The sequence below is a fragment of the Homo sapiens genome, chromosome 10 (genome assembly GCF_000001405.40).
Source record: "Homo sapiens chromosome 10, GRCh38.p14 Primary Assembly".
NCBI classification, from domain to species: domain Eukaryota; kingdom Metazoa; phylum Chordata; class Mammalia; order Primates; family Hominidae; genus Homo; species Homo sapiens.
Genome location: NC_000010.11, coordinates 17,067,459 through 17,080,989, shown reverse-complemented (window position 1 = coordinate 17,080,989; position 13,531 = coordinate 17,067,459). Strand labels below are relative to the sequence as shown.

General features: G+C 36.7%; 1 protein-coding gene across 2 annotated transcripts in view; it reads left to right on the top strand.

Annotated features, from left to right (window-relative positions):
• The window catches only part of CUBN (cubilin), a 305,846-nt gene that overhangs the window by 48,822 nt on the left and 243,493 nt on the right, over positions 1-13,531 (top strand). For both annotated transcript variants that reach the window (NM_001081.4, XM_011519708.3), the window contains exons 18-21: positions 9,019-9,163; positions 9,386-9,564; positions 12,220-12,385; positions 12,710-12,926. In NM_001081.4, the coding sequence (NP_001072.2) occupies positions 9,019-9,163; positions 9,386-9,564; positions 12,220-12,385; positions 12,710-12,926 (707 nt within the window). The remainder of the gene's footprint in view (positions 1-9,018; positions 9,164-9,385; positions 9,565-12,219; positions 12,386-12,709; positions 12,927-13,531) is intronic.

Here is a 13,531-nt window from a genome sequence, read left to right as displayed (position 1 = left end):
TCTACTTTTAAAGATATACATTACCCATGGAAGATGTGACATGGCTACAAATGAATGAATACAAGAACAGATCAATTGTTAGTTCATCTGTTTTTGTCGAAGAGAGCTTTTAAATTGTATAGAATAGTTCAATGAAGGTGATGGAAGCATCTTTCCAGAATAAAAAGCAGCACCTCTCATTAATATTTCATAAGTGATTTAAGCCATCAGAACTCTGAGTGAAGGACACATAGGTAGTAATGAAAGTTTAATTTTAAATCCCAGAGAAGGGAAGTTGTAGGCTGAATAATAAATTCAGAAGGCTATACGATGTTAAGGTGAAGGCTTGAGGTAGGATACGAAGGGAAATGAGTAGAATTGTTCACCCATCAAATCTCCTTGACCAATCCCAAAGTATCTGCCTCCTCTCCCCAGAGACACTGAGGAACCAGAAAGGGGGCTCTACAAGAGACGCAGGGAGAGCGATGTGCCTTCTGGAGAAAGAGAAGGGCTTTCGAGAAGTTGTTGTTTCTTAGATGTGGAAAGCAAATACAAACAGAAAAGTTGAAAAATATAATCAATAAGACAGGAAGGAGTAATTTACATTGAATTTTATTTCTGAAATCTAGGGAATATACCTGTTCTACAAGTGGCGTTGAACCCTAATTCATCATATTTTAGACCTCTATGGCAATCCCAGTAAATTAACAAAGCAGAAATTGTACATCTCTTCACAATATAACATAACCCAAGATTATTTATAAACATTTTAAAATGCCCAAGTGTGTGGAAGTATGTGAACTCTCCAAAATAATCATTGGCTTGAGAAAGAAATAAAAAATGAAAGACTACATAGAAAATGACAAACAGGAAATGCTGTGTATCAAAACCTGTGAGATGTGATGAAACTCAACTCCCTGGTAAAATCTTTAAGATTTAAAAGAAGAGAACCAAAATAATTGGGAAAGCAGGAGAGCAGAAGCTGAGGCAGGAAGGTCTGTCCTCCGTCTGAACCTTTTCTTTCACCACCTTCCCCTGCATCCTTCCCTCTACTTCTCCCTCCCCGCTACACTCCTGCTTCAGCCTAAGCAGCCCTCCCGCATCTCCTGCATGTCTTTAGATGAATGCAAATTCACAAAGGACCTCCTTTTGTGACTTCTTAGGCATTGAGATGATTCCACTATGAGCTTGGGATTGGGTGGGGGAGAGCCAGGACTTGTGGAATGCATGAGGCACTTGCTTCCCTCAAGTGGACCTGCTGCTCAGAGTCTCATGGCTGCAATTCACAGACTACACACCTAAATGTCAGAAAAAGAATAAGGCCTGGAGCAAGCAAACACACCACATAGGCTGAATAGTATTGTGTTTTTCAGTTAAGTACATATTGAAATTAATTGTAGGTCAGAAAAATATCTTTCTAGAGAGGGTAGGATAAAGGGAAAAGGGGGAGATCCTCAAGAGTTTGTACTCTTGGCCAGGCATGGTGGCTCATGCCTGTAACTCCAGCACTTTGGGAGGCTGAGGTGGGTGGATCACCTGAGGTCAGGAGTTTGAGACCAGCCTGGCCAACGTGGTGTGAAACCCCATCTCTACTAAAAATACAAAAAAGTAGCCAAGTGTGATGGTGGGCACCTGTAATCCCAGCTACTTGGGAGGCTGAGGCAGGAGAATCACTTGAATCCAAGAGGTGGAGGTTGCAGTGAGCTGAAATCACGCCACTATACTCCAGCTTGGGTGACAGAGTGAGACTCCATCTAAAAAAAAAAAAAAAAAAAGAGTTTGCATTCTTGAGCATATTGGATTTAGGGTTTTGACAGAGACTAGGAACATTTGGTTAGACTCTGAGCTCTGTTGTTGTGAGCACAGTTTTTCCACAACTGCTGGACCATCGTGATGCTTTTTAGTGAAGGAAGAAGATAGGCCATTCCTCTAGTGAAATAATTCTGTAGGTTGGAGTAGTGGGAGGCAGGAAACAGACTGAGAGATGATAGAACACCTAATTTGGAGTTGTGAGAACTTGTAGAGAATACATTTTTGCTGTGTTTGAAGGAGTTGCATGCTCATGTAGAAGCTGCAAACCCATTGAACATGCGTGATGTAGAGCAGTAAGCAGGAATAAGAGGATATGGATGGACCATTATCAAGAACATTACAAATTCCTAGGTCAAATAGAGGGTATGGCTGGTACTTTTCTGATATAAAATGGAAACAATATTGCATGGAAACATGATAAAACCCTTCAGCTCTCTGTGTTACTAAAGGCAAGATACCTGTAAGCCACAGCTTCCTCATGTGTAATAGGGATAGTACTAGTAGTACTAGTAGAAAGAGACCATTCATTCATTTATCTATTCATTCTCTAAATATTTATCAAACCACTTAGGTTTCAGTCACCATGCTAGGGAATGGGTATGTAATATAGATATTAAATAAGTAAGCACACACTACATAATTTCAAGAGGAGATAAGTATGGGCAGGAAAGAAACAGTACTGTAAGAGAAAAGAACAGAGCTACTGACTTCAGTGGAGCAGTCTGAGTTTGCTTCTCAAGGGTCTTTGTATGGCTAGCTCATTCTCATCTGTAGACCCTGTATGTAGGATCTGCAGATGAGGAGTGAGCAATGCAAAGAACTGAGAGAAGGAGGACTCCAGGTAGTGGTGCTAACCCAGCCCTAGAGACTGAAGTCAGAAAAAATAAACTAAAATAATTGGAAATAGACCAGGGTGGCTGGAATCACACAGGGATGGAAAAGAGAAATATGAGTTAGGCAGGAGCTAGACCCTGAAGGGTCTTGTAGACCGAGATAAAGAGCCTGGGTTATATTCTATATGCAAGGACAAACAATTAGAATGTTCCTTGTCACATTGTGCCTGTCACACAATGAATGCTCACTAAAGTTAACATCATGATGATAATGACGATGATGATGATGATGATGGGGAGGAGAAGAGAGGGCAGGAGAAGGTGACCTACTGGAGTTTGCAATCATGAGGGAAGGCACTTCTAGGTAAAACTTATTCATGTGTTCTTGATTTTAGAATATCAGATCTTAAAAGATCAGATTATATTTATTAATAGAGATGTTAGAAGGGACACTTTCACAAGGCATGAAAAGGTTTAAAATACCAACTCTAAAAATCATGAAACATACTAATAAAGAACAAAGGATAATAACCAAAGTAAATGATTTTGAGATCCTAAATGGCTTCTCTCATCTCTTATCCTCCTCACCCCTTATTCTCTCACTGGGGGCAGGGCCTCATTCCTCTCCTGCTCACCCAGATTAGCCCAAGGCTCCTCCCTAAGGTCCAGTCTTTACTTAGCTAAGATGTATGTCAGCCTGAAGCTCACTTCACAGAAAGCCACATGTTAAACACTACCATACGGTGTGGTTCTCTTTTCAGCTCTCAGATGGACTAAGCGTAAGTGCCAGCATATTTGAATTGCTTTGAATTAAAATTTAATGCTTATTATTTTAGAAATTATAGTATAAAACCAAATCTGGATTCATAGCAGAGGAAGACAAATGAGCGTGCGTATTAAGACATGGCTTTGGGACTTGACTCATTCCAGATGTTAAAGCTCACGACTCACTAGGCTCAAAAGCCCACATTTAAAATTTCATGTAAATGGTGTTTCTCAGCAAAGTAAATTTTAGTTCTCTCTATAGAAAATCATTCCTTTACAAAAACTCGTTTTTTTTTATGAGTAGTTTCTCTTCTGGAACTAGTTTAATCTGATGAATGTAAAAATTGGAAGCCATTTGGAATACACCATATGCTGAACATCCTGGGACCTGAAACCTTCAGTGTTTCCTGGACGAATAAGGCAATCCACAAGAAATCTGAACCTGGTCCGTGAAACACTAGAATTTTGAATTGGTTCTTGTTGTTTCCTTGCAAATGCGATTCACTAAAAAGAATGAATTCACTGTGACTCCTCTGCAAGTGATCACGGCATGGCTTCACCTGACTTAGAAAAATTCAGTTTTTCTGCACAAACCAGACTCAGATATTGGTCATCTTTCTCTAGGTTATGCTGCAATAACAAACAATTAGTAGCAACAACCAGAAAAATCAAAAACAATAACAAACCAAAAGCGTCTGTGGCTTTCAATAACGTGTTTATTCTTTGCTCACAATAGCAGGTTAGTTTTGGATCCATTGCAGTTCTGTTTCCTATGTCAGTTTCCTGTGCCTTCACCGTCCTGAGACCCAGGCTCTAGAGCTTGCTGGGGGAAAAGTAAAAGATGGTTGAATTATGCAGTGACTTCCAAAGCTTCTATGTGGAAATTGGTGTATCACTTTTGCTCACACTCTGTTGGGCAAAGCAAGTCCTATGGCTAAGCCCATAGTCAATGGGAAGATTATGTATTAATTCTCCGTATGGCAGTATTGCAAGTCACATGGCAAAAAGCATAGATAGTCAATCCTTTTACAGGAAGGGAAGTGAATAACTATGTAAAATAATGCCATCCATCCCAGTTCATGAGCATAAAGGAAAGAGGTTTTTTTTTTTTTTTTTTTGGTGGGGGTGCAAATTTATCAAGTCCTAGATTATTGAACGCAATACATGCTTCAGAGGTAGCTAGGGTCACTTTAGAACATTTGATGAATTTTATTCTAGTGTCTCTTTCAAAGGAGTTGTAGTTAAAGTATTGCCATGTCTAGAATCCAGGGAGAATACAGGCTTTCAGAATTAATAAGGTTTCATTTCCACAGAGAGAGAGAGAAACAGAGCCAAAATCAATTGCACCTTCTAGGTTCAGGGCCCTTGAGCCCTATGAGTTCCTCTTAAAACATTTGGACTACAGCTGCCTTTCTCCTTGTTAAAATCCTTGAATTTCATTAGTTGGGGCCCAGGGGAATGGCCCACTTTAGCTTGCAGTGATGCTATTTGGCTGTTTTTTTTCCTTCTTGTCATCTTCTAATGGGCGAAATAGAAAAGAGAGACTACAATCTTCGAAGAAGCAAATAGAACCCTGGAGGATTAGAGAGCAGGAAGATAACTTTGTGTTTCATGCTTTCTAGTTTTCAAGAACTGCAGTATGTCTGTATCTCTAACAAAAACTGAACCATCATACTGTACCTTAAAATTAATGAATCAACAAGAATTTGTCAAATACCTATTTGCAAAGTTTTTTTTATTAGATGCTGAAGGGCAAACAGAAATTTTTCCCTTCCCTCAGAGACTTACTGTTTGGTTAGAGATAAATTTAGCATAGCTTTACTACAATATGTGAAATTTGTGTTACAGATGTTGTAAGAGCTCAGAGAAAGGAACTAGTATGAGCCTGAGTCAGTGGAGAGGCATGTGATTTTTCATGTCTGTGTCAGACTCTATCATATGGCTGAATCATTATTTATTTAATCACCTCACTATTATTAGGCCTTTAGAATGGTTTCAATTATTGTTATTATAGAGCAGACTTTGATGTGGATCTGTATATGTCTTTTCCTGCATCTTGAATATCCTTGTGATACAGTGTTAGAAGTGAAATACCCTTAATACATATTGTCAGTTTATTTTCCAGAACTTTATACTTCCACCAGTTATGGATGAGAGTAACTGTCGCCACATCCCTACCAACTTTGAATATCATCCTTTTAAAATCTTTCCTTTACTGGCTAGGCACGGTGGTTCACATCTGTAATCCCAGCACTTTAGGAGGCCAAGGCAGGCAGATCACCTCAGGTCAAGAGTTCAAGACCAGCCTGGCCAACATAGTGAAACCCCATCTCTACTAAAAATACAAAAATTAGCTGGGCGTGGTGGCGTGCCCTTGCAGTCTCAGCTATTTGGGAGGCTGAGGCAGGAGAATTGCTTGAATCTGGGAGGCGGAGGTTGCAGTGATCCGAGATCGTGCCACTGCACTCCAGCCTAGGTGACAGAGTGAGACTTCATCTCAAAAAAAAAAAAAAAAAAAAAAAAAAAAGAAAACAAAGAAAAATCTTCTCTTTACTACCTGTTTGCCTTGGCCTAGATAACTCCTACTCAGCTTTCAAGTCTCCGCTTAAATGTTATTTCCACTGAGTTTTCCATAATCCCCTGGGTGAGTTCAGAGTCTTTGGTTAACCCAGTGGTTCTCTACAATTTAAGACTTTTTAATATCACTCCTTGATTATTCAGAAATGAAATACACTGATTTAACCCCACTAGACACATTATATTTAAAAATATGTAAAGTTGTAAGAATAACATTAAGAAAAAATAGAGTAACAGAATAAAATCACATTTATTTCAGTATCTGAAAACCTAGGCAAGCTGTACTTGAAGACAAAATAAAGCAGTTGATTGTCTGGACCCCAAATTGCTATGAATATGACAGTACAAATGCAGGCTGACACAGTTATGTGGGTTGGTGACTAATTTTTCAGAAATAGTGACTAACTCTTGACAGATTTCCAGGAGAAAGAATCTTCAATTTACACTCTACTTGTAATCCTGGAAAATTCAGTATGCATTAAAATTGCACAAAACTACTTTGCGCTTAATATGTAAAATAGAGCGAGATTTTATACCCAATAACAGAACTTTCACTTATGTGAATGTCACACAGGTTCAGGAGAATTCTTGTTGTGTGTGACGCTCACATTTCAGGCTGCCTCGTGTCTTTGGTCCCTTGCTACTTACTAAATGCCAGTAATGCCCCATGATTGCTGTGATAATAATTAACACAAAACCAAAAAGGTACTCTCACACATTTCCCAAATGCTAGATTGTGGTCCCTGCTGAGAACCATTGGTTAGGTAACAATGAAGTATCCTGCGCTTCCCCAAAAACCGCAGTCATCATACTTTTCAAAAATGTTCCTGCCTATTGTAAGTTCCTTGTGAGCAGTGACTGTTTCATGGTATTGTCACCTGCACAGTTCCTGGCATTTATTCATGCCTTGATAATGTTAATGAAGTGAATGAATTAATATTTGGATGTCTGTATCCTTCAGAATAATTGTACTGAACAGCGGCGGTATATATATCCATCGAATAATTCCTGCTCATAGTAGCAAGCCTCCAGTGTTTCACCTCCAAAAATGTCCAGAATAACAACAGCTATCCTTAGTCAACATTTTCCATTACCAAACATTTGGCTAAGGAATTCACACTATTGTTTCATCTGTTTGCTTCAACAATCCCATGAGCTTAGATAGAGTAACTTGCTCAAGGCTATTAAGTGAGGTGGTTTGTAAGTGACAGAGGTAGGTTTTGAACCCAAGTCCATAGACTGTATTCATGGCCACTATACTATAAGAGCTGGCTATTTGGCCGGGCGCAGTGGCTCACGCGTGTAATCCCAGCACTTTGGGAGTCCGAGGTGGGTGGATCACCTGAGATTGGGAGTTTGAGACCAGCCTGACCAACATAAAGAAACCCCGTCTCTACTAAAAATACAAAACTAGCTGGGCGTGGTGGCACATGCCTGTAATCCCAGCTACTTGGGAGGCTGAGGCAGGAGAATCACTTGAACCCAGGAGGCAGAGGTTGCGGTGAACTGAGATCACGCCATTGCACTCCAGCCTGGGTGACAAGAGCGAAACTCCATCTCAAAAAAAAAAAAAAAAAAAGAGCTGGTTATTGATTTAAAATCAGTAGTCTATTATATGAAGGAAATTCCTTTTTTTTCTAATAAAACAGGAATGCTAACAATGTTTTTTGAATTTATGGAGTTATCATATGGCTTATCTTATCTGATGTACTGAGGAAGTTAATTTATAGTTTATAATTTCTAACCTTTCTTGCACTATTATTATTCCCATATTTGATCTGGTATATAAGCTGGCAATGGACTGTGAATTTATTTTTCTAGAACTGTGTTTAGGATTTGTGTATCTATATTAATAGGTGACATCAGTCTATAGTTTTTATTTCTATAATCTATGTTGGGATTTGGTAACAGCGTTCTAACAAAAATTATTTGGAAATTATTCTATGTTTGAGGATGGCTTAGAATAAATTATACATGGGAATTATCTCTTCCTTAAAAGTTTTAAAGAATGTACTAAGTAGAGCATCTTATGGGAGATTTTTCTTTTTGGGGGTTGAGGGTGGGATGGGAATAATTATTTGATAATGTTTTCAATTTTATTTATGACTTATGTCTGTTCAAATCTTATTTTTCTTCTCCTTCAGATAATTTTAATGTTATACTTTTTCTGAAAATAACCCATTAAAAACATTCATAGAGTTGTACATAGATTTCACATTTAAAAAAATCTTAGTATCTGTGTCTTTGTCATTTTCAATTTTGTATATTTGTGCTTATATATTTATTTTCTTTTTAGACTTGCCAGAGATTTGTCTTTTATATCCCCACCCATAACCTTCCTCAAAAAAACAGTTCTTGAATGTATTTATGAATACCACATGATTTTGTATTTCATTTATTAAGTTTTGCTCTTCTTTTTACTGTATTCTTCCTCATTTTAAGGATTTTTTTCTAACTTAAAAAAATTGTACATAGAGCTGGGTCTCACTGTGTTGCCTAGGCTGTCTCCAATTCCTCTCACCTTGGCCTCCCAAGGTGCTCAGATAATAGGTGTGTGCCACTGTCCCTGGCCTTCTTTCTAAGTTTTTAAGTTGACTCCTTACATTCTTTTACTTTCTCTCTCTTTCATCAACTTTTCTTTTTTTTCCTTTTTTCTTTCAATGGCAAAAGTAGTTTAGTCCATAACTTTCTTTGATTGCAGATTTGGCTAACACGTGTATTTTTTCATAGGTAATATTCTCATTTTTTATTGTTTTCCAAGTAGTCTAAATTGTGAATTTATTTCCTCTTTGACATTGTGAAAATTATTAGGAGAACATTCTTTAAATTCTTGTGCTTTTGGACTTTATTGGCTTAGGATTTTATCAGCATTTCATGTTATTGCATTGTGCTTAAAAATGACCTACTGCTTTAGAAAATAATAGAAATATGTAACTCAAATTGGATTATCATTCATTTTGAATCTGCCATTTTTTCATCTCCAAGTAACGCCACCATTGCCGACGTAAGTTTCTTTATTTGAATTACATCTCTATTTTATTTTTCTCTTTAGGTTCGAGATGGTGAAACCTTACTTGGAAAAGTCTGTGGCAACGGAACCATCTCTCACATTAAATCCATTACTAATAGTGTCTGGATCAGGTTTAAAATAGATGCTTCTGTTGAAAAAGCTAGTTTCAGAGCTGTTTATCAAGTCGGTAAGGAAACATATAATTTTTAAATGTCTAATTTGCCTGATTGTAATATTTTAATTCTTCAAAATAATTTAGTCATTTTATGTCCTCAAGTGTTAAGTGGAAAATATTCTCATAGAAATGTTATATTCGGTTATCTCCTCAGGCAGTATTAGATTTTGCAATAAAATTGAGATAAAATTATTAATATCTGGACAAGCACTACTATAATTTTTATGCTTACAGCTTGCGGGGATGAATTAACTGGAGAAGGGGTCATTCGCTCGCCTTTTTTTCCTAACGTGTATCCTGGAGAAAGAACCTGTAGGTGGACCATCCACCAGCCCCAAAGCCAAGTCATTCTCCTCAACTTCACTGTCTTTGAAATTGGAAGTTCTGCCCACTGTGAAACAGATTATGTTGAGGTAAGAGGGAAAAAATCTTTGAATTTGTATTTGGTTGTATATTATAAAAAATATTATGGGTTGTTGTCTTCAAATCTGTTATAGGAAATGAAAGTAGTTTATGTAGACCAATATGTCTTATGGATACATATGTAAAAATCCTCAGCAAAATACTGGTTCAGTGAATCTAGCACAAAAAGAGGATTTATATACCATGATTAAGTGAGATTTGTCCCGAGAATTCTAGGTTGATATAAAACCCCAGAATCAGTTAATGTGATACATGGTACCAATAAAATAAAGAACAAAAACTCCATGATCACCTCAATAGATGTGAGATCTGGATTTTGCTGGATTTGACAAAATTCAACATCCTTTCATGATGAAACACTCAACAAACTAGGAGTAGAAGGAACCTTCCTTAATCTCATAATGGACATTCATTTAAAAACTCACATCTAACATCATATTTAATTATGAAACACTAAATGCTTTGCCCCTATGGTCACAAAAAGACAAGAACGTCTGTTCTCACTACTTCTATTCAGCATTACACTGGAAATTCTAGCTAGAGCAATTAAGTAAGGAGAAGAGATAAAATGCATCCAGAATGAAAGGGAACGAGTAAAATTCTCTCTATTCACAGATAACATGACCTTGTATATAGGAAATCATAAGGAATCCACACACATAAAAAACTATTAGAACTAATCCATTCAGCAAGTTGTGGGTTATGAGATCAAAATATAGAAATCTTTCTTTTTCTATACACCAGCAATGAACAATTTGAAAATGAAATCAAGGAAACAATTCCATTTACAATAGCATTAAAAAATAATAAACATGAAGGAATACAGTTTTAAAAATAAGTGTAAAACTTGTCCTCTGAGACTATAAAACGTCCTTGAAAGAAATTTAAAAAGACCTAAATAAATGGAAAGACATTTAATGTTCATGGATTAGAAGACAATATTGTTAAGATGGCAATACTCCCTAAAGTGAGCTAAAGATTCAATTCAATCCCCATAAAAATCACAGCGGGCTCTTTTAAAAAAATACATAAGCTGATCGTAAAATTCATATGAATATGCAAGGGAACCAGAATAACCAAAATGTTCTTGAAAAATTACAAAGTTGAAGGACTCACACTTCCTGATTTCAAAACTTAGAACAAAGCTACAATAATCAAGACAGTATCTTATTGAAGTAAGGATATAAATATAGATCTATGGAACACAATTGCAAGTCCAGAAGTGAACACATACTTTTATGGCCAATTGATATATGAAAATGATGCCAAAACATATCAATGGAGAAAAATCATTTTTTCAACAAATGGTGCTCAATAGCCACATGCAAAATTATGGTGCTGGACCCCTTCCTTATAGCATACACAAAAATTAACTAAAAATGGATTATAGACCTAAATGTCAGAGCTAAAACCATGAAACTCTTAGGAGAAACCTAGGAGTAGTCTCTATGCCCTTCAGTTTAGGCAAAGCCTTCTTAAATATGACACAAAAAGTACAAACAAAAAAAGAAAAAAGAAAAATAACTTCCTCAAAATTAAAAACGAATAACTTGATTTTTAAAATGGGCAAAGGAGGCTGAGCACAGTGGCTCACACCTCATCCCAGCACTTTAAGAGGTCAAGGTGGATGAATTACTTGAGCTCAGGAGTTCGAGACCAGCCTGGGCAACATAGTGAGACCCCATCTCTACAAAAAATTTTAAAAATAGCTGAGTGTGGTAATACACGCCTGTAGCCTCAGCTACTCAGAAGGCTGTGGTAGGAGGATCACTTGAGCCTGGGAGGTAGAGGCTGCAGTGAGCTATGATTGTGCCATTGCACCCTAGCCTGGGTAACAGAGTGAGACCCTGTATCAAAAAAAAGAAATGCCAAAAACAAAAGGACACACCCATAGGATAGCTATAATAAAAAGAGTCAGATAATGGTGTGGACAAGGATGTGGAGAAATTGGAACCTTTATACACTCCTGGTGGAGATGTAAACTGGTACAGCCACCTTGAAAAACAGTTGGCAGTTCCTCAAAAAGTTAAACATAGAGATACTATCTGATCCAGCAATTCTACTTTTAGATATATTCTCAAGGGGAATGAAAATATATGTCCACACAAAAATTTGTATGTGAATATATCTACAGTCATCATCTATAATAACATATACAAATAGCAAAATGCAATCATTATTTTTAATTTTAAAAGTAGAAACAACTTAAGTGTCCATCAACTGGTAAACGGATAAATAAAATGTGGTATATCTTTACAGTGGAATATTACAAGGCATTAAAAAAGAATGAAATAATGATCCATGCTACAACGTGGATGAACTTTGAAAATGTTATACAGTGTGAAAGAAGCTAATCACAAAAGACCCCATATTGTATAATCCCATTTTGTTTGAAATGTCCAAAATGGGCAATCTACAGAGACAGAAAGTAGATTAGTGGCTGCCTGGGGCTGTGGTTTCAGGGGAATGAGGAGTGACTGCTAAAGGATATGAGTGTTTTTTGGGGGGTGACTAAAATGTGCTAAAATTGATTGTATTCTCAAATTGATTTGTACTCCATTAAAAACATTTCAGAAATAATTATTCTTGAAGCAGTTTTCAAAATTGATATACAACATATTTGAACATATCTTCTCTAATTTTAGATTGGTAGCAGTTCCATTTTGGGTTCTCCTGAAAATAAAAAGTATTGCGGTACAGACATACCTTCATTTATAACATCTGTGTACAATTTTCTTTATGTCACATTCGTGAAAAGTTCTTCTACTGAAAACCATGGTTTCATGGCTAAGTTCAGTGCTGAGGATTTGGGTAAGAGACTGTTCCCTTTTTTTTTTCCTCCTCTTGGGCTTGTATCAGAATAAGTGAATGATAGAAATAAATTATATGAAAATCATCTGTACTGTGAAAAATTTTAAAGTACACTCAAAGACAAAGAATGTATATTTTCTAATCAACATTTATATCAAAAGTTAATTGTTACTTATTAATAAGAGAAAAATCAGGTTATCTTAAGTGGCAACTAAGAAACATTTTTCCTTTTAATCTTTGAAGAGGTTATTATCAGAGCCTTTTAATTTGAAATCCAGGTAGCTTGGTTACTTGCTGCAGTAATTATAATTTTTATTTCAACAGCATGTGGAGAAATTCTTACAGAATCAACAGGGACCATTCAAAGTCCTGGCCATCCAAATGTCTACCCCCACGGTATCAACTGTACTTGGCATATATTAGTCCAACCTAATCACCTGATTCATTTAATGTTCGAAACATTTCATCTGGAGTTTCATTACAATTGCACAAACGACTACTTGGAAGTTTATGACACCGACTCTGAGACATCCCTTGGAAGGTAAGGTTATGTTTGTTTGTTTGTTTAACAATAAAACTTCACTGATTTCCTGCTTCAGTGAAGGATCTTAAAATTGACCACGTTGTGTTATGAAAACCAGGTGAGATCCTCATGCTTCTTAATGACCATTTCTACATAACTACTCTGTAGTTGTGGCCTTGTAGGCATTAAGTTTTGACATCTGTATATATTCATGAAGTCAAAACCAAAATTAAAATAATGCATATATCCACTACCCACAAAACTTTCTTCCTTTCCGTTATAATTCCTTGCTTTTGTTCCTCACCCCCACCCACAGGAAACCACAAATCTACTTTCTATCTCTGTAGATTCGTTTGCATATCATCTAAATGGAATCATACTATACGTACTGAATGTTTTTCTGACTTTCCTCAATTAGCATAATTTTTGTTGAGCTTCTTGGATCCGAAGATTTGTAGTTTTATCAAATTGAAACATTCTTGGCCACTGGTTCTTAAAATATTTTTCTGTCTTTCCTCCCCATTAGGGACTCTGATTTCATGTATATTAGGCACTTGAAATTGTTCTACAACTCTCTTGATAGTCTGTTTGATTTCAAGCCTCTGTTCTCTGTGTGTTTTACT